This window comes from Homo sapiens, chromosome 2 (genome assembly GCF_000001405.40).
Source record: "Homo sapiens chromosome 2, GRCh38.p14 Primary Assembly".
Lineage (NCBI taxonomy): Eukaryota > Metazoa > Chordata > Mammalia > Primates > Hominidae > Homo > Homo sapiens.
Window position 1 is genome coordinate 232,583,701 of NC_000002.12, and position 21,786 is coordinate 232,605,486.

The following is a 21,786-nucleotide window of genomic DNA, read 5'->3' on the forward strand; positions in this document are numbered from 1 at the left end:
CTACAGTGTATAAGTCCCAATCTTAACTGCATTCCAAAACAAAATATGTGGAATAGTCCAGGCAATGTCAATCTCAATGACACAAATTTATTGTGAAAATATTCTCTAATTGATATTAATCATTGCCACAACTCAGTTTACATTTTTATTATCAAAATATAGTTGGTAACGCTCCTTAACTTGGGATAAGGAATATTGGAATAGAAGAAAGTTTAAAGAATTTGATTTTACTGTAAGAAATCACTCAGCCTAAGCTTGGAATGTTTTAGTTATATTAAGTATCTTAGCCTAAAGAGGGACACATGGGGCATGCCGACGGTTGGTGCCCACATGAAACACTGAGGGAGAAAGAGGCTTTGCTGAGCCTCAGTTATTGTTGACAAAGGATTTAAAACAATACAGTCTTGAGACTTAGTTTCTGTAGATAGAAATCTCCTCTCTCTGTCTATCAGTCATGGTCCAAATAGGAGACAGAAACCATTCCAGTTATTTCAACAATATGATAAAAAGAATTACTGACACAGTAACCAAAAAAGCAAAAAACCCACACAAGAATTAAGGAAGTAGCAACTTCCAGAAGTGCTCTAAGGATGGGTGTTGCTCACCTGGTCCTGGGTCTTTGAGCCCATCATGAAGCTGGTTCTGAGCAGGTCAGAAATGGCAGCTGGGATCACATGCAGCTGTGAGAGCAAACTGCTGCAGCAGTGCTGACAGGAACGGGAAGGAGCACGCCCCTTCTTCCTGCAGCATGGAAGCTTCCCTCTACTGGAAAAATCCAACAGGATGCCAGCTGCGAAGCAGAGATGTTTGCAGAGTTCTGTCGCTGGTATCACAAAAGCAGAGCTAAAAAGAGCGGGTGTGGAACTGAGAGACGAGCTTCCTAACTGGCACAGCCCCTGTTAGCCACTCAGCATCTGCACACAGCCTTCTACACCTTTGAACTTCTGTCCCACCACAAAAGCAATTCTTTGTGCCCAAGGAGATGTAATTAATTGGAAGCTGTTACCCTCTCTCAAAAATGAGGACATGTAAAGCTCACCAGTCACTGTCAATCTCTGAGCTGTGTTGACTCTTCTAATTCAGTTTCAATCCCATCTGAATAGAATACAGAACAAGAGAATGGTACCTAAACACTAAAGGGTAAAGTTTACTTCCAGCAAAAATTGCATGAAATAATGAGAGAAGAAAATTGTGCACATAACAAGCAAGAATATGTACATCAGCCGGGCACGGTGGCTCTCGCCTGTAATCCCAGCACTTTGGGAGGCCGAGGTGGGTGGATCATGAGGTTAGGAGTTCGAGACCAGCCTGGCCAATATGGTGAAACCCCCATCTGTACTAAAAATACAAAAATTAGGTGGGCGTGGTGGCGCGCGCCAGTAGTCCCAGCTGCTCAGGAGGCTGAGGCAGGAGAATCGTCTGAACCCAGGAGGAGGAGGTTGCAGTGAGCTGAGATAGCGCCACTGTACTCCAGCCTGGGCGACAGAGTGAGACTTCGTCTCAAAAAAAAAAAAAAAAAGATTATGTATCATCTGTAATGATCATGAGGCTGTAGTTATGTATCACTTTCTTTTCCACTGCCTATTCTGTATTTCCTTTGCCCTCACCCAGGATCTCCGCTGGTCAGGATTCTTTTTTTGGTATGGTTGATCCAAACCTTTATTCCTAGGGTGTCTGAATTAGTTGTCCTTCCTTTGTTACAGTCTTTCGTTTTTGCTATTTGTAAGAGGGACCTCAGAAAAGTATGGATTCTAGACAGTTCTCCCTGCCCCTAGTATGCAGCAGCATTTGTTTCCCCTTGGTAATACACCCGAGTCAGTAAACCCCTTATTTGCTTGTTGGTTCAGTGCCCAGAAGGGCCCAAAACAGCAGGTGAGCCTCAATGTACAATTCAGTGAGCTGTTGTCTTGTGTTCCCCGGAAGCATTCCTCCTGTAAAAACCAAGCCCTCCAAACCAGTAGAACTCCAGTTGAGGGGACAGGTGAGAGGAACCACTCCTACTTCTATCCCTTGATTCCTGGACCCGTGAATCCTGGTTATAGGAGAGACAACACATGCAAAGCAGAACCTTGGGGGCAGCACCCAAAAGTTGTCTCCCAAGTGGTGCTGTAACGGAGTCTTCACGAGGCCGTTTCACTCTAATGTTTGTCCAGCTGCTTCCTCCTGCTGAGATACGTGGTATGACTGTGATTACCTGGTCACAAGCCCATTGCCTCACTTTCTTTGCTGTGAAATTTGTTTCTTGATTAAAAGCAATATTGAATACATGCTGGTGAATAAGGCATTCCATTAGTCCACGGGTGATCATGCTGGGAGAAGCAGGAAACGCAAATTCACATATAGAATATGCATTATTTACCTGGTTTGCCAAACGGCAATGGAACTAATCCAGCACCATCCAATGGAACCTCCAGTTCCTCCAATGGAGCTAATCCAGCACCACTCTCACTTTTTTGGAGCTGTGTCCCCCGGCTACCTGGATGGTCACATTCTTTGGTATTTCTCATCCCATGTGATTGCCCGTGGGCCCCAGGTCTGCTTTCCCTTGATTGCAGTCTTGTCTGATGTCAGTTGAAAGCCTCAGCCAAATCCTGTCCTCCAGGCCTATTTCCATGAGACCTCTAACAGCTTCCCGTCAAGATCGTTTTGACTCAAATAACTTAGAAAAAAAAAAAAGTCTCCATTCCAACAATTTGTAGAAGTACAGCGCACTGATGGGTCACCTGCAAGAGAGCAGGGTCCACAGGAGGCCCCTGCAGCCCTCAGAATGTCCAGCACACTGTTACCTCCCATCCAGTGGGCTGGCCAGTGTGGCAGGTCGGGTGAGTGGGAGATGAATAGGAAGCTATAGGCTGTTCCCTTGAGGAGCTCGCAGTCCAAAGGGGAGAAGAAGGAATGCAGCAAATAGAGGCAAGAAGGCCTCCAAGAGGATTGGTGGCTCAGGTGTAGTCCATGTGGGCCAAGTCCAGTGGGCAGGTGACCTTTGCTCACCTGGACTCCAGAAGTACAGACATGAGGCCAGTGGGCTTCATGCTGGAGATGTTGCCTATGGGTGAGAGTAGTATCGTATGTAGTAAAGTGTACCATTTATTGAAAACTGCTAGACACTAAAATTACATGCATATTTCATTTAAATCTCACAAGAGCCCTGTGGGTTCCCCATTTCACAAATGAAGAAACAGGCAGAGGTTAACACAGAAAGTCACTCACCATGTAAGGGCAGAGATGGGACTTGACTTAGAATTCCAGAGCTCTTAAGCCTGCCACACTGATAGATTATAGCTCACCTAGTCTGCAAGTCATTATTTTGATTGTTGGGAAAGAGGGCTTCGGAACAGATGAGGGCCGGTAGCTCCAAAATGACTCTTGCTGCTGCAGTGTGATCCTAGTAGATCAGAGGCCCCACCCCACTGGCCAAGGAGGATCAAGAGCCATGAGCAAGGCAGCTCCCCCTGGGGCTCTGGGAATGGCCAAGAGGGCACAGGGATTTGCCAGCAAGGTGACATTTTCTGTCCTTTCCCCTAATCCCACACCCTCCTCCTGGCCTGAGTATTGGCCTTACCCTAAATCATGGCATGTAGGTTCCAGGCGTCTCTGTTCCCTATTTCCACAACCAGACTTCCTTAAAGTCCCTCTGCACCAACCCCCGCCTTTTTTTTTTTTTTTTTTTTTTTTTTGCATTGTTTATGGAGGTCCCTGGCGGGGTTTTGCATTGTTCCCCAGACTGGTCTTGAACTTGAACTCCTGGCCTCAAGTGATTCTCCTGCCTCAAGCTCCCAAAGCTGGGGTTACATACAGGCATGAGGCACTGTGCCTGGCCTCATTTAAAAAAAAAATTTAAGGTGAGGTCTTGGTGTGTAGCGCAGGCTGTATTTGAGTGATCCTCTGGCATCAGCCTGCTGAGTCGCGGGGATTATAGGCACATGCTGCCATTCCTGGCTCTGCCCAAATTATTCTCTCCACATTTGTCCAGCGGGCCCAGTCAGACCCTCTCCGTGAACTGTATGGGAAGTAAAACTCCCACGCTGAGAGCAAAACTTCCCTTTCTCCATCTCACCCAGCCTCTTCCTTGTACTAAACATAGACAATAGTATTTCACACCAGGGCCTGCCCTCTACCTTGACGTCTCTGTGAGGAGGCAGGGGAGGAATGCTCAGAGCACCTTCTACCTGCCATCCTCCACCCTTTCAGTCAGGACCCTGAATGGACAGAGAGAGGGGCATCAAGGCCTTGTCCCCTGTGAGCCCAAGAAGGCAGGTAGGTTAATCCAACATCCCCCTCCAGGTGACTTTCCTCCTGTCCCTGACAAGAGGACTGTTAACGTTGACCCAAGAGCCAGAGCCCTGCCCTGTGGCCTCGTGTGCTCTTTGCAGGGTCCTAGCCCCCCGACCCCCATCAGGATGCTTCCAGAACATGGTAAGAGCCCCTGCAGAGGCTGAGCTCATCTGTGGCCGGGCTGGCCGGGCACCACCCAGCACCAGGCTCCTGGAAGGGTTTGGAGGTCCAGCCTCCCACCCCATGCTCTCTGGCTCGCAGTGCCCACCATGCCCTGGCTCCAGCCACCCTGGCTGACTCACTGCCAGGCTCCTTTGCTGTCATCAGTTCTGCTGCAGGTTCACCTCAGCTCACTCCCGTCCCACCCACAGGCGCACACACACCTCTGTCTCCTGACCAGTTCCCACTTTATCTCCGAGTGATGTCCAAGACCCTTTTACAGAGGACAGGTGGCTGGTCCCTCCTATGTGACAGAATGGCCAGTGGCCCTCAGAGGAGACCCTGCTCCTCAACTTAGCACAGTGCTTCTTGGGAGGTTCTAATGGGCAGCCCAGGTCAGGACTATGATCTTGGAGAGACCCTCCTTCATTACTGCCCCTGGACCTATGCCCTGGCCTCCTTGGACAACTTCACACACACACATCCCTAGTATCTTCCCCACATCTAATCAATGTGCTCCTGCCCCCTGCAACATCCTCACCAGCCCCAGCCCATGTCGTGCTCACGCCATTGAGCCTGGCACTGTTGAAGGACCTCACGTGCTTCTTCATTGAAAGCCCTGCCACATCAGTTTTGACTAGATTTCCCGGGGTTCCGCAGATACATCCTTGTCCCCTGCTGTCATGCCATTCATTCCCTGCTGTAGAAGGCCCTCACTCCACCCTTCACCCTGCCCACCTCCACCACCCTTCACATATTGCCTCTTCCAGGCAGCCCCTGGTCCCCTCCTGCCCTAATCATGGGCACCTCCTATTTTCCCACAGCACTAGGCCCAAGAGACTGGAACTGCAGGTGTCCTTGTCTGTTCTGGCTGCTGGGATAGGTTCCAGGAAGGCAGGGGCCACACCTCCCTCATCTCTGAACAGGCCTGGCATGGATGCTGGCTGCGGAGAAATTCCTGCCAAAAGCAGATTTATAAAATGCCTTAGTCATCGTGTGCTGTTCCATCCAGCACTGCCTCTCGCTGAAGAACTCATTTCACAGCAAATGAAGTGCAGCAGTGGGCTTGAAGGAAACCTAAATATTTCTCTCTAAAATACTGAGTATTACATAAGCGTAAAACACTACATAAATAAACTAATTAAAATACTGCCGGCCAGGCGCGGTAGCTCACACCTGTAATCCCAGCACTTTGGGAGACCGAGGCAGGCGGATCACCTGAGCTCAGACATTTGAAACCAGCCTGGCCAACGTAGCCAAGCTCTACTAAAAATACAAAAATTAGCCGGGCGTGATGGCTCATGCCTGTAATCCCAACTACTTGGGAGGCTGAGGCAGGAGAATCACCTGAACCCAGGAGGCAGAGGTTGCAGTAGCCAAGATCGTGCCACTGCACTCCAGCCTGGGCTACAGAGTGAGACTCCATTTCTAAATGAATAAATTAATTAACAAATTAATTAACAAATAAATAAATAATAAAACACTGTGATTGTTGGGCTGAAGAAGGCTAAATGCAGGGGGGCACTCAGCCTTTCCCTCTGCTTGCCCGATGGCAGGACAGCAATTCACAAAGACGAGATCCTTCTACCTCCCCTCCAGCTTTCCTGTGTAAAACCAGAGATGGAAAATTTCCTCAAACAACTTGCTCATCAACTCAGAGATGGTGCCAATGGGACCAGGGAAATTTGGGAGCTAACTTTACTCCCTTCCCAGAGTTTTCCTGCCTTCGCAAGACTCTCCTTTGTCGTGTCACCACTCCAAGATTTATGGCTTTTCACCGGGCGCTGTGGCTCAAGCCTGTAATCCCAGGACTTTTGGAGGCTGAGGTGGGCGGATCACGAGGTCAGGAGATCGAGACCATCCTGGCTAATACAGTGAAACCCCGTCTCTACTAAAAATACAAAAAAATTAGCCGGGTGCGGTGGCGGGCGCCTGTAGTCCCAGCTACTCGGGAGGCTGAGGCAGGAGAATGGCATGAACCCGGGAGGCGGAGCTTGCAGTGAGCCGAGATCGCGCCACTGCACTCCAGCCTGGGCCACAGAGAGAGACTCCGTCTCAAAAAAAAAAAAAAAAAAAATTACGGCTTTTTGATAAAATACTATTTAAGGCAGAGCTTCAAGCCACTTCCTTGAGAGCTACACCTTTGAACTGAGGCTCCTCCCACAAGATGTAAACTGTGCGCATTAACATAAAAATGGCTTTTCTCTTGTTAATCTATCTTTTGTCACAGAAGGCTTGTTCCAGCTATCAACTTAGGAAGGTAGAGGGAAATTACATGTTCTTCCCTCAGGCTCATGTTTATGGAGGTCCCTGGTCTTACTGGTACCCCATCATCCTAAAGCGGGAATGTGAGAGCTACTGACCTCTATGATTGAGTTTTGTTCACTGATAATTAATAAATTATTGCTATTTGTAGCATTTCACAGATCGTTTGCTTGCATTTGCCAGGGGTGTGTGTGTGTGTGTGTGTGTGTGTGTGTGTGTGTGTATTTTTTTTTTTAACATAGTCTTGCTCTGTCCCCCAGGCTGCAGTACAGTGGTAGCACCTTGGCTCACTGCAGTCTCCACCTCTTGGGTTTAAGGGATCCTCCCACTTCAGCCTCTGGAGTAGCTGGGATTACAAGCGCACACCACCACACTCAGCTAATTTTGTATTTTTTGTAGAGATGAAGTCTCACTATGTCGCCCAGGCTGGTCTGGAACCTCCTGCACTCACGTAATCCTCCCACCTCAGCCTCCCAAAGAGCTGGGATTACGGGTGCGAGCCACCATGCCTGGCTTTATAATCTTATTATCTTCAAATTATGAAGGTTTTACTTTCTCCTTTCCAACTTTCCTATCTCTGTTTTCTTTGCCTTACCTTATTGTGTGGGTTAGCACCTCCGGTACATTGTTGATTTACGCTGGTAACAGTGGGCGTGCTGTCTTGTTCCTAACTTGGTGGGAATGCCTCTAGGAGTCCCCATTAAAGACAATGCTGGTTTTGGAGCTGAAATGTATTCTGTCCTGTTAAAGAAGAGAAGAGCCGTGCGTGGTGGCTCACACCTGTAATCCCAGCACTTTAGGAGGCCGAGGTGGGCAGATCACTAGGTCAGGAGTTCGAGACCAGCCTGGCCTGTTCATGGTGAAACCCCATCTCTACTAAAAAAATACAAAAATTAGCTGGGCATGATGGTGCACACCTGTAATCCTAGCTACTCAGGAGACTGAGGCAGGAGAATCGCTTGAACCCAGGAGGCAGAGGTTGCAGTGAGCCAAGGTCCCGCCATTGCACTCCAGCCTGGGCAACAAGACAGAAACTCTGTCTCAAAAAAAAAAGAAGAAGAGAAGAAAAGATTTAAAAGTTGTATGGGAGAGTATATGGATGTACCATCTTTTTGTAACCTAATTTTTCTTAAGAGATGAGATTGAGGTCTCGCTAATGTTGCCCAGGCTGGAGTACAGTGGCTATTCACGGGCATGACCATCGTGCACGACAGCATTGAACTCCCAGGCTCTAGCAATATTCCTACCTCAGTCTCCCAAGTAGCTAGGGTTACAGGGGTTCCCCTTTGTGCCTGGCCCCATCTACTGATTTCATGAACATTTCGATTGTTTCCAGTATTTTGCTGAAAGAAGTGAATGGCTTGGTATATATACCCATCATTTTGCATTTGTAGGATCAGTTCTAGAACTGGAATTGTTGGGCTGTGTGATGGTTAATTTCATGTGTTAACTTGACTGGGCCAAGGAATGACCACATAGCTGGTAAAACACGATTTCTGGGTGTGTCTGTGAGGATGTTTCTGGAGAAGATGAAGATCGGAGTTGATAGACTAAGTGAAGATTCACCCTCACCAGTGTAGGTGGGCATCATCCATCCATTAAGAGCTGAACAGAACAAAAAGGCAGAGTAGGGGCAAACTTGCTTTGTCTTCTTGAGCTGGGATATCCATCTTCTCCTGCCCTCCAACACTGGAGCTCCTGGTTCTCGATCCTGGTTCTCAGGCTTTAAGACTCAGACTGCATTTCCCAGGCCCTCCAGCTTGCAGGCGGCAGATGGTGGGACTTCTCAGCCTCCGTAATCACCTGAGCCAATTCCCATAATAAATCTCCTCATATATATACATATATGCTGGGTCAAAGAGTACATGATATTTGATTTGATAAATATTGCCAAATTGCTCCCCAGGTTACGCTCTCACCAGCAATGCATGTGTTTTATCTCAGCTCCACAAAGAGAATATATTATAAAATTTAGATTTGTGCTAATCCGATAGGTAAAAAATGATATTTCAATGTCATTCTTTTTATGAGTGAAATTGAGTTTCTTTTCATATATTTAAGGACAATTTGTGTTGGGTTTTCTGTTCGTAACTTGACAATTTTTCTATTGAGTTGGTGGTCTTTTTCTTATTGACTAACGGGAGTATTTTATATATTAAGGAGATTATCCCTTTGTTTGTAATATGAGCTTGACCAGAGCAGGAACCAACACAATCAAATGAGGAGTCCCGGATGGCTTACCCAATGTTATAGGATGAGGCCTTTACCGTGCTGGTGGCTGAGGGTGGGCGAGAGAGTCAAAGATGAGTTGTATCTGAACAGGAAAACCTGTTGTTCTGCAGGCAAGCTTGGCTCTAAAGTGGCTGCCTATATAAGTTATTTTGGAGCCTCCAGGATATAAGCAGCCCAGGTACCAAGAAGGTGATGCAAGCATTTTGCCTCTCCTCCTAGTGGGAGGAGTTCCAGCTGCCTCCTGCTGGTGGGGACTGATGACCTGTCCAGCTCCACTGTCTCTTGTCCCTCTGGACTGGGTGAATGAGGATTCTGGCCATGAATTGCTGATTTGCTTAGTTCTGTCCTCCGTCTAATGAGCATTATCTTCTATGGACAGTCCTTTGCTCTGGTCTGCTGGGGTGTCAGGTGATTTTATTTGCTCTCCTTGAAATCACTGACCAGCAGCACTGCAAGTGTTCTTTCCAAGCTTGTCTTGTTTTGCCCAACATGTTTTTGCATCCAAAGTCTTGTTGCTATGTATCTGAATGAATCAGTCTTTCTTTTTATGGCTTCTGGAGACTGACTCATACTTGAAAGCCCTTTCCTGTAAAACCTGGATCTATTTATAGAGAAGACTAAAGGTTTGAAAGAGCCATAGGGCAGGGGGTGGGGAGATGGAAACCCACTACACCTGCACACAAGGATGCTCGGGGAGTGCCGAGGGCATGGATTGGTGGCTCAAACCAGGAAGGAACTAATCCAGTCTGGATCCCCAGGTTCAGGAATTGGCAGAGCTGGTGGGCTGGAGACAGAGGGCACAAGCTGGAGAAGGCCCCAGTCACGGTACCTGAAGTGATTGGCCAAGGGGCCTCAGCAGGTGAGGGAGGTTATGGCAGTGTAACAGGGAGGGTTAGGGGTTCTGGGGGCCCTAGTGAGGCAAACAGCAGGTAGCATAAGAGTCAGAGAAGAAGATGACTAGAAGGAAAGTGATTCCAGAAAAAGCAACTTCAGGTGATGGCAAAGGCCAGAGGACAAGCACGGGAGAGGATGGCTGGTAGGCCGGATGCTTTAGGCCAAGGAACCACGAAGGCAGGGAGGTATGGGTCCGGGATGTCTCCCAGGATGATGATGTGTTGAAGCTCAAAGGAAGACCAAAGCCAGGGTTAAAGCCCGCCATCACCATCGCTTAGCTCAGCACAGCTTAGTCCCGATGGTGCCTTATAATCGGCAGGGTCTGGACCCGGCACTCATGATTCCAGTGTCAGCTGCAGTTATAAATTGCTGTCCTAACTTATGTCCCTGTTAAGCTTTCCACTGAAGTAAGGAGCATGAATTAAATGCAAGAGACCCTGTCATTTCATCTTAGGCCTAACCACATGGACTTCCTAGCCTTTTCCTGGTGCCTCAACAATCACAGGGCAGCCCAGTGCAGGTGCAGGTGCTAACAGCCCAGACCCGATTTCCTAGTCCCGGCTCTGTTTCTGCTTAGTTGACATCACTTGCAGCCTCAGGGCGGATCCAGGATGAGCTTGGGCGCAGAAGGGTCATTCTGGCAGCACATCAGCTCATCTTGATGAGTCCAGTGTCAAGCAGCAAAATGCCTGCCAGGTCAAGGGTACGTGGAGATGAAAGACTCTGAAGTCATCAGGGATAATTGCCGTTTACTGTAGCCTCCCAGCAACCTACAACATTAACTACCACCATCACAGCCTTCAAAACTGCATGAGACTAGAATGAACCATGTAATGCTGGATTAGAGTAGAACGTAGCCTACAATCATGTTTAATAGACACACACACACAGATAGATACAGACATATAGATATGTGGGTATATGGGGGTTAATATAGGTAGACATATTCCCTAGATTTGTCCTCTGAGACAGACTAGAGGCAGTGACACCCAGTAGCAATGAGTACACCTTACACCCAGATCTTGAGACGGGGTCTCTCTCGCTGTCGCCCAGGCTGGAGTGCAGTGGCGTGATTTTGGCTCACTGCAACCTCTGCTTCCTGGACTCAAGTGATTCTCCTGCCGCAGCCTCCCAAGTAGCTGAAACTACAAGCACATGCCACCATGCCTGGCTGATTTTTGTATTTTTTGTAGAGATGGCATTTTGCCATGTTACCCAGGCTGGTCTTGAACTCCTGAGCTCAGGTGATCTGCCCACCTCAGCTTCCCAACATGCTGGGATTACAGGCATGAGCCACCGCACCTGGCCCTAGATCTTGATTTCTAAATACAGTTATCCAATACAAGGAACCAGACTCCTTGGTGAAAGAGCTGATTATAGGGCTGGGCAGGAAAAATATAAGATAAGCCTGGAGCATTTTATAGAGCCGGAAAGTTAAGGAGTGCTAAGAACAAGGCCCAGCGCAGTGGCTCACTCCTGTAATCCCAGCACTTTGGGAGGCCAAGGTGGGCAGATCACCTGAAGCCAGGAGCTCGAGACCAGCCTGGCCAACATGGTGAAACCCCGTCTCTACTAAAAATACAAAAATTAGCTGGGTGTAGGTGGCACGTGCCTGTAATCCCAGCTACTCCAGAGGCTGAGACAGAAGAATCGCTTGAACCTGGGAGGCAGCGAGGTTACAGTGACCGAGATTGCGCCTCTGCACTCCAGCCTGGGCCACAGAGTGAGACTCTGTCCCGCCCCCCCGCCCAAAAAAAGTGCTAAAAACAAAAACAAGCAAAGAAACCACATTGATGGGACATGTCAAAGGGACGCAGAAGCCACCTGAAAGTGCCAAATGGCCAAAGCTGAAACAATTGAGCAACAAAGTAAAAAGTGGTATTGGATTATAGCCCAAAGGATAAAATAAGTGTCTTTGAATGCGTACTGATGTAAAATAAATAGGAAGAGCAGAAAAATCGTCTGTGGAGCATTCTAAATCCTGTGTGGAATAACTTCATTCCTTCAGTGTTGGCTGCATACAGTGACTCCCTTCCAGCGAGTGCAGCGTGGAAAGGAGATCACAAGTGTAAAGCTGAGAATGGAGGAAGCTGAGCAATCCTGCCTCAGCCAGGTGGCCAGGTCAGCAGCGACAGGGAGAAGTCACGTGGTGGTGTGTACCCTTGACACGGTGTGATGAGGGAGGCACTTTACTTCTGTGGTCTTCTTTCTAAACATGCCCAACCCCAGTCTAATCATGAGAAAAACATTAGACGAATTTCAGTAGCGAGAGAGACGTTCTATAGAACACTGACTGTACTCCTCAAAGCTTGAGCAGCCATCGCAGCAAGGAAAGTCTGAGAAGCTGTCCCAGCCAGGAGGAGCCTCCGAAGACAGGACAACCGGGTGTCATGTGGTATCTGGATGGGACCCTGGAGCAGAAAAAGGACATCAGGTAATAACTAAGGAAATCTGAATAAAGTATGGACTTTTTTTTTTTTAAGAGACAGGGGTCTCACTATGTTGCCCAGGCTGGAGTGCAGTGGCTATTCCAGGCGTGATTATAGCACACTATAGCCTCAGATTCTTGGTTTAATGGGATCCTCCAGCCTCAGCCTCCTGAGTAGCTGGGACTAGGTGCATGCCACCACACCTGGCTCAGAACACCTTATTTATTTATTTATTTATTTGTTTGTTTGTTTATTTTTGAGAGGGAGTCTCACTCTGTTGCCCAGGCTGGAGTGCAGTGGCACAATCTCGGCTCACTGCAACTTTCGCCTCCCAGACTCAAGCGATTCTCCTGCCTCAGCCTCCCAAATAGCTGGGATTACAGGTGCACACCACCATGCCTGGCTAATTTGTGTGTGTTTTTTAGTAAAGACCAGGTTTCACCATGTTGGCCAGGCTGGTCTCGAATTCCCAGTCTCAGGTGATCCAGCCGCTTTGGCCTTCCAAAGTGCTGGGATCACAGGCCTGAGCCACTGTGCCCAGCCAGAACACCTTATTAATAAATGTTACAGGCAAGATCTGCAAATGAATGCTAAAAATAGTGAGTAAGACTTCAAGGAGAAACAGGATATTTCCCATAGCCTCCGAGTATCTCCCCTGAAAATATTTCTAATTACGGTGATGGTTTGAATGTATGTTTACAAATATTTGATATTCCTCATTCCAGGGGAGGGAGCTTAATTCCCCTCCCCTTAAATATGTGCTGCTGGAGCCATAAAAAAGGATGAGTTCATGTCCTTTGTAGGGACATGGATGAAGCTGGAAACCATCATTCTCAGCAAACTATCACAAGGACAGAAAACCAAACACCGCATGTTCTCACTCATAGGTGGGAATTGAACAATGAGAACACTTGGACACAGGAAGGGGAACATCACACACCAGGGCCTGTCGTGGGGTGAGGGGAGAGGGGAGGGATACCATTAGGAGATATACCTAATGTAAATGACGAGTTAATGGGTGCAGCACACCAACATGGCACATGTATATATATGTAACAAAACTGCACGTTGTGCACATGTACCCTAGAACTTAAAGTACAATAATAAAAAAAAATATGTGCTGCTGGATTGGTGACTTGCTTCTAATGAATGAGAGCAGAAAGGGAAAAGCAGTAATTTAATAGTGGAGGAAACTGGCAGACACCACCTTCGCCAAGTGGTCAGAGTCAACAGCATCAGTGAGGCACGCTGGCACGGCATGCCTCGGGAGAATGTGCTGAGAGAGGCAGTCACCTGTGAAGTCTTCTTCCCCCGAATCCATAACCTTAGTCTACTCATGAGACAATGTCAGACATACCCACACCAAGGGACATTCTACAAAATGCCAAAATACCTGACCAGCACTATTCAAAAGTATGAATGTCATAAAAGACAAGCAAAGACCTAGAAGCTGTCACAGATGAGTGAGGAGACCTGATGACTATGATCTGGAATCTTGGATAGGATTCTGGAACAGAAGAAGGTCCACCAGGGAAATCGGAATAAAGTCTGAAGTTTAGTTAGCTGTAGTGTACCAATGCTAATTTCTTAGTTTTGATCAATGTGCCATATTTAGGTAAAGTGGTAACATTAGGGGAAGCAGGGTGAAGGGTACTTTGGAACTCTATGTACTATCTTAGCAACTCTTGTGTAAGTCTAAAATTATTTTAAAATAAAAGTTCAAGTTGGACCCCTTGGCTCCTGCCTGTAATCCCAACTCCTCTGGAGGCCGAGACAGGAGGATCACTTGAGCCCAGGAGTTTGAGACCACCCTGGGCAACATAGCAAGACCCCATCTCTTAGAAATTTTATTAAAATTAGCCAGGCATAGTGGCGTGTGGCTGTAGTCCCAGCTACTCAGGAGGCTGAGGTGGGAAGATTGTTTGAGCCCAGGAATTTGAGGCTGCAGTGAGCTATGATCAAGCCCCTGCACTCCAGCCTGGGCAACAGATCAAGACCCCATCTCTAAACAAATAAGTGAATTACATTAAATTAAAGTACAGCCAGGCACGGTGGTACACGCCTGTAATCCCAGCACTTTGGGAGGCCAAGGTGGGTGGATCACGAGGTCAGAAGATCGAGACCATCCTGACTAACCTGGTGAAACGCTGTCTCTACTAAAAACACAAAAAATTAGCCAGGCATGGTGGCACGTGCCTGTAGTCCCAGCTACTAGGGAGGCTGAGGCAGGAGAATCGCGTGAACCCAGGAGGCAGAGGTTGCAGTGAGCTGAGATCGCGCCACTGCACTCCAGCCTGGGCGACAGCGAGACTCCGCCTCAAAGAAATAAAATAAAATAATAAATTAATTAGTAAGTACAAAAACTTACACAGTGGTATGCTTGATTTCAATGCTTGGCTCTTGCTCTAAAGCAGGGCCTGGGTTCCTGCTCTCCGAACTGGCTCCATTAGTACCGGCACCAGGGCATTGTTGGCTGACAGGCCTCTTATTCAGGGAGAGTCTGCCTTTTGCTCCACCCCCCAGGCTCCATCTACCCCTCCGCATGTCCTGAGTCAGCATAGAGCCTGCAGGTAGGTGAGAGCCTGCAGGTGCTTTAGCCCCTACCATCTAGGCAAGCTCAGCCTGACAGCAAATGAATGAGAGCCCCACTTGGCACAGGGAAACATTTCCATGAGCTCAAGTCAGAAAAGTACATGCCTGGCCAGGCACGGTGGCTCATGCCTGTAATCCCAGCACTTTGGGAGGCCGAAGCGGGTGGATCACCTGAGGTCAGGAGTTCAAAACCAGCCTGGCCAACATGGTGAGACCCCGTCTCTACTAAAAATACAAAAATTAGTCAGGTGTAGTAGCTTGCATCTGTACTCCCAGCTACTTGAGAGGCTGAGGCAGGAGAATCACTTGAACCTGGGAGGCAGAGGCTGCAGTGAGCTGAGATCCCGCCACTGCACTCCAGCCTGGGTGACAAAGCAAGACTCTGTCTCAAAAAAATAAAAAATAAAAAAGTACATGCCTATGAGGCCTGATAGGATCCCCACTTCCCTGATATGTGGCAGGGTGCACACTAAGCAGGAGGAGAAGCGGTGGGACCCAAAGTGTCAGGTGGTAAAGAGAGGGACCCCACAGAGGAGATGGGCAGTCCCGAGAGTGGAAGGCATGGCCTACTTTGCCCATCAGGGAACCCCTCTCGACCCCCCACCTTGGGTGGGCTCTGGGTGGTCCACACACGACAGGTGGCTAGAGTCCAAAATAAGGGGAGAACTGCCTCCAGCTCTGGGTCACTGGTGAGCCACAGCTAATGGTCAGACTGTCCCCTCCCAGGTCAAGGGCATGCTAAGGTGGTGACGGGTCAACCAAATCATGGAAAAAAGTTCGAAAAAAGGCACCACACCAATCCTAGGCTGACTCTCTAGGACAACTGTTGCTAAGATGCCAGTCCAGAATGAGCTGAGGCTTGCAAAAACCACCAAGGGCAGTACTGTATCTTTTAATTGATGATCAGAGCATAAAAGAACAAGAGGCAATTGATGTGAGATTAACACAGGCAGACAAATTGCCTTCCCTGTTGGAAAATGGGTCATCAGTGTGGAAAGGGCGGGCTGCTCAGCATGGTGCAGACGAGAAGTCATGCCTGGGAAATCATGGGTCCCAGCACTAACCCAGGTGGGAAAAGCTACACCCAATTCTCCAGAAGTGGGGAGGGGGTGTCAGCTACCTCTCCAGGGGCTTCTGCTCAGTGATCCAGCGGAAGATCTGAGGTCTCGGAGGCACCCCACCAGTACCACCCACAGCACAGCTGAGGCCCTGAACCCCTCTAGCCCTGAGAAGGGAACAGTGCCAGAGGAATGGTTTCAAATATCTAAATGATCAATCATGGAAAATGGCCTTGTGTGTGGAACTAGCACCTCTGGGTAGAAGTTACAGTGATGAGGCTTTAGGTTTAAGAAAAGCTCCCGGACCATTTGAGCTGTCTAAAAATGGAGTGGCTGGCTCAGGCGCTGCAGGTGAAGAAGCAGAGCCCGGAAGGTCACCTGTTAGGGGATTTGCTGAGATGCCAGTGGTAGACCCAAGGGTAGGCCAGATGACCTTTAAGGCCCTATTCAGTCATGAGATCTGAGGGTCTCAGAACCGAGACTGGGGGGAGCTTAACAGCCCCCTCTCCGGCAGCTACCCCAGCCCTGGGAATGCAGTGGTGTCAAAGGGGCTGTCGCAGCTGGTGACTTAGGCCCTGGCACCAGTGGCAACCTGGCAGACTGCCGGTTTGGCCCGGAAGGTGCTAAAGATCCCAGCTCTGAGCCCCTGGCCTCCTGGGAAATGTGAGCAGCTTATGGATAAAAGGATAGCTCTGTCTAGCTTCCCAGACCGCAGCTGCCAGGATGGGGCCAAAAGGGGTGATTTGACCATCCACAAGCTAGACAGGAAATCCCTCAAGACACAGGTCAACATGAAGGGACATCAGATCCCAGCGGCTCCTGCACCTGTCCCACCCCCGCCCTATCTCCCAGGACCCAGGGCTCCAGCTAAGCACCTCCTGTGGCCATCATCCTTCTGCAGCCCCCTCCGCCAGGCAGCCTGGCGCCTCGCCCCCTCCCATGGAATGTCCTGCTCTACTCACTTCCCCACCTCACCAGGTGGCCCCAGCGCCGGCATTCAATGCCTCCTCTCCCTGCAAAACTGTTTTTTTGAGATGGAGTCTCACTCTGTTGCCCAGGCTGGAGTGCAGTGGTGTAATCTTGGCTCAATGCAATCTCCGCCTCCCAATTCAAGCGATTCTCCTGCCTCAGCCTCGCGAGTAGCTGTGATTACAGGCATGCACCACCACGCCCAGCTAATTTTTAGTAGAGAAGGTGTTTTGCCATGTTGGCCAGGCTGGTCTCGAACTCCTGACCTCAGGTGACCTGCCCACCTCAGCCTCCCAAAGTGCTAGGATTACAGGCATGAGCCACCACTCCTGACCAACTTTGTTTCCTTTCTAAATGAAGGACTTTTTTCCTATTTCAAAAACAAGACAAAAATTAGACAAACTACAAATTAGACAAACTATGATACATTCATACAATGGAATATTATTCAGTGATTAAAAAGAAATGAGCCATCAAGCTATGAAAGGACGGGGAGGAAATGTAAATGCATAATGCTACGTGAAAAAAGCCAATCTGAAAAGGCCCCATTCTGTATGACTCCAGCGGTGACATTCTGGAAAAGGTAAAACTATGGAGACACTATGATCCAGTGGTTGCTGGAAATTGGGGAGAGGGAGAGAGAGATGAACAGGTAAAGCACTAGATTTTTAGGGCAGGGAAACTATTATTCTGTATGCGACTATAAGGGTGGGTACATGTCATTGTCCATTTCTCAAAACTCACAGAATGTGCAACGCAAGCAGCGAAGCCTCATGTAAACTAGGGGCTTTAGTTAGTGATGGAGCATCAGCACTGGTGAACCTGGAGAGGACGTGGAGGTTCCGCCTTTCTTCCTGCGTGCCTCGCCCTGTGCATCTCTTCATCCTTTGCGACATCTTTTATAATAAACCAGCAAACCGATTTCCTTGAGTTATGTGAGCTGCTCTAGCAAATTTTTTTTTTTTTTTTTTTTTGAGACGGAGTCTCGCTCTGTCACCTAGGCTGGAGTGCAGTGGCGCGATCTTGGCTCACTGCAACCTCTGCCTCCCGGGTTCAAGCAATTCTCCTGCCTCAGCCTCCTGAGTAGCTGGGATTACAGACATGCGCTACCGTGCCCTGCTAATTTTTGTATTTTTATTTATTTATTTATTTGAGATGGAGTTTCGCTCTTGTCGCCCAGGCTAGAGTGCAATGGCGCAATCTTGGCTCACTGCAACCTCTGCCTCCCGGTTCAAGGGATTCTCCTGCTTCAGCCTCCCAAGTGGCTGGGATTACAGGCATATGCCACTATGCCTGGCTAATTTTGTATTCTTAGTAGAGACAGAGTTTCTCCATGTTGGTCAGGCTGATTTCAAACTCCTGACCTCAGGTGATCCACCTGCCTCGGCCTCCCAAGTGCTGGGATTACAGGCGTGAGCCACCACGCCAGGCCAATTTTTGTATTTTTAGTAGAGATGGGGTTTCACCATGTTGGCCAGGCTGAACTCCTGACCTCAGGTGACCCGCCCGCCTCGGCCTCCCAAAATGCTGGGATTACAGGCATGAGCTCCGGCACCCAGCCTGCTCTAAAAATTAATCAAACCTAAGGAGGGGTTCGTGGGAACCCTGATTTATACCCAGATGTTCAGAATCAGGTAAAAGAACCATGAGTTTGCAATTGGCATCGGAAGCGAGGGACAGTCTTATGGGACTGAGCCCTCAACCTGTGGGATCTGAAACTGTCTCCAGATAGTGTCAGAATTTCATTGAATTAAGGGCCTCATGCGATGGTTCACATCTGTAATCTCAGCACTTCAGGAGGCCAAGGCAGGTGGATCACTTGAGGCCAGGAGTTCAAGACCAGCCTGGCTAACATGGAGAAACCTCGTCTTTATTTTTTATTTTTAATGTTAAAAAAAAAAAGGAAGAATGTAATCGAATTAGAGGACACTCAGTTGGTGTTCGCTGCAGAATTGATTGATTGGTTTTTGTGTTTGTTTGAGACAGGATCTCGCTCTGGCACCCAGGCTGGAGTGCAGTGGCTCATTGCAACCTCAACTTACTAGGATGAAGCAATCCTCCTGCCTCAACCTCCCAGCTAGCTAGGACTGACTACAGGCGCATGCCACCATACCTGGCTAGTTTGTTTGTTTGTTTATTTTTTGAGATGGAGTCTCACACTGTCCCCCAGGCTAGAGTGCAGTGGCATGATCTCGGCTCACTGCAACCTCCGCCTCCCAGGTTCAAGTGATTCTCCTGCCTCAGCCTCCCAAGTAGCTGGGACTACAGGCGCATGCCACCACGCCTGGCTAATTTTTCGTATTTTTAGTAGAGACAGGGTTTCACCGTGTTAGCCAGGATGGTCTTGAACTCCTGACCTTGTGGTCCACCCACCTCGGCCTCCCAAAGTGCTGGGATTACAGGCATGAGCCACCGTGCCCTACCACTGGCTGGTTTTAAAAAAAAAATTTTTGTAGAGATGGGGTCTCACTTTGTTGCCCAGGCTGGTCTGGGAACTCCTGGGTCAAGAGCTCCTCCCACCTTCGGCCTCCCAAAGTGCTGGAATTACAGCTGTGAGCCGCTGCACCCGGAATATTTTCTTCCTACTGCACTCTCAACAATACAAAATCTTCTATGACCTCGGGTTATCAAGAAATGTGTGTGAATTTCTCCCCACCAAAAACCAATCAATTGGCTGGGTGTGGCAGCTCACCCTTGTAATCCCAGCATTTTGGGAGGCTGAGGTGGGAGGATTGCTTGAACCCAGAAGCTTGAGACCAGCCTGGGCAACAAAGTGAGACCCCATCTCTATTAAAAAAAAAAAAAAGAAGAAAGAAGAAGAAGAAGAAGAAGAAGAGGAGGAGGAGGAGGAGGTGGAAGGAGGAAGGAGGAAGGAAGAAGAAGAGGAGGAGGAAAGAGGAGGAAGGAGGAGGAGGAAGAAAGAAGAGGAAGAAGAAGAAATGAAGAAGAAAGAAGGAAGAGGAGGAGGAGAAGGAGGAAGAGAAGAAGAAAAACTACTAAGTTTTCTTCCCCCTCGCTCTCCTCGGATGACAATGCTTTGGCTTTTGTGAGACTTTTGTTTTATTTCGTTTTGTGGAGAGGCTGGTGGCTCTGAGTTTTTTGGCTTTAAATCATGATAATTGTTGCCTCTCCCTTTCCCAGTCATTACACTACTTTATTTTTGTGTGTCATTGCGTTGGCCACAATATCCAGAAAAAAATGTCAAATGATTGCAGTGCCACTGGGATTTATTCCTTGTAGACTGAACTTCAGTGCTTCTAGGATTTCCTACAGCTACCTAGAGAGGATTCTTCTTCATATTCACTCAAGGAATCATTCTACTGCTAATTTACCCAAAGTTTCTATCAGGGGTGGATGTTGACCTTCATCAGATGCTTCTTCATAGGTACCAAATGATCTTTTCCTTTAAAAAGACAGTTTCCTGTCCCCTTCTATCTTTTATTCGTCTTACCCTTCACTGATTTCTCCTTTCTCAGCTAAAAACAGCTGCTCGCGGCCACCTCCTTCCTTCTTGATTTTCTTCCCTCTCCAGCCTCTGAAATGAACGCTCTGGGGCAGCAGACACCACTCTTTTGCCACCGCTCTCTCCTGGAGCCTCCAGCCCACCCTGCCGGGTTCTGCATCGTCCGTGGCCTGGAGAACACCCGTCTCACTCTCATTTCAGGGTGGGTCTCCTGATCTCCTGCCTGGGCCGTGGGTCAGATCCTCCCCTCTCTGCTCCTCCATCTCATGCCAACAAGACCTCAGGTGGTCGTCTTCTGTGGTACCCAGGCTCTTGTCTCTCTCCCTACCCTACCTGCCCAGTAGACACGAGACTTCACTGTCACCCCACATTCAACATTCAGGGTCTGAAACACGGCTCATCCTCTTCCCTTCTCTTCCAGCTTCCCACTTCCCACAGCTCAGCAAGATGGGGAAACACACATGCCTGGGGCCAGGAGCCTGAGGCCTCTTTTTCTCCCTAAGTCCTGGCACTGACACCACGCTTCCCACAGTGCCCTTCCCCTTCAGGCCCAGCAGGCTCTTCCGAGTACATAAGCTCATTCAAGCCTTCCCAGCCCTGATAGCCAGATCATTGTGGTCCCATTTTACAGATAAGGAAGCACCTTACCAGCCTAGGCGTCTAGTAGGCGCAGAGGCCAGGAAGGAGGTGCCCCAGCCGACCCCGCCTCCAGGGCTGGCCGGTTCCAGCGTCTTCTCACCACCTTTGCTTTCTTCCCCAGAGGTGATGGAGTCAGACACCCAGATGCTATGCCAGAGCCCCCTGTCTTAGTGGGATGTTAAAGAATTAGGGGCCAGGCCGCGTGCAGTGGCTCACATCTGTAATCCCAGCATTTTGGGAGGCTGAGGTGGGTGGATCACCTGAGGTCAGGAGTGCGAGACCAGCCTGACCTATATGGTGAAACCCTGTCTCTGCTAAAAATACAAAAAAATTAGCCAGGCGTGGCAGCACGCACCTGTAATCCCAGCTACTCGGGAAGCTGAGGCAGGAGAATCTCTTGAACCTGGGAGGCAGAGGTTGCAACTGAGCCGAGATCATGCCACTGCACTCTAGCCTGGGCGACAGAGGGAGACTCCGTCAAAAAAAAAAAAAGAGGCCGGGTGTGGTGGCTCACGCCAGTAATCCCAGCACTTTGGGAGGCCGAGGCGGGTGGATCACGAGGTCAGGAGTTTGAGACCAACCTGACCAACATGGTGAAACCCCGTCTCTACTAAAAATACAAAAATTAGCCGGGCGTGGTGGCATGGGTCTGTAATCCCAGCTACTCAGGAGGCTGAGGCAGGAGAATTGCTTGAATCCAGGAGGCGGAGGTTGCAGTGAGCCAAGATTGCGCTACGGCACTCCAGCCTGGGCAACAGAGCGAGACTCTGTCTAAAAAAAAAAAAAAGAGAGAGAGAGAGAGGGAGGGCGG

At 48.9% G+C, this 21,786-nt stretch overlaps 1 long non-coding RNA gene across 2 annotated transcripts in view, besides 1 other annotated feature; it reads right to left on the minus strand.

The window, feature by feature from the left end:
• Positions 1–21,786, minus strand: part of LOC105373929 (uncharacterized) — a 30,817-nt gene that overhangs the window by 2,546 nt on the left and 6,485 nt on the right. Inside the window, exons 4-6 of one of the 2 annotated variants that reach the window (NR_187950.1) lie at positions 7,295–7,440; positions 2,360–3,046; positions 606–843 (exon numbers count right to left, since the gene is read on the minus strand). This is a non-coding gene — a long non-coding RNA (uncharacterized LOC105373929). Of the gene's footprint in view, positions 1–605; positions 844–2,359; positions 3,047–7,294; positions 7,441–11,752; positions 12,237–21,786 lie in introns of both variants that reach the window. The other variant, NR_187951.1, reaches the window with a different exon arrangement.
• Positions 16,719–17,218: an enhancer, noted in NCBI's record as "H3K4me1 hESC enhancer chr2:233465129-233465628 (GRCh37/hg19 assembly coordinates)". NCBI's record gives its function as "activates a minimal SCP1, AML or CMV promoter by ChIP-STARR-seq in primed H9 embryonic stem cells {active_cell/tissue: H9 hESC(primed)}" and the evidence as "EXISTENCE:reporter gene assay evidence [ECO:0000049][PMID:30033119]".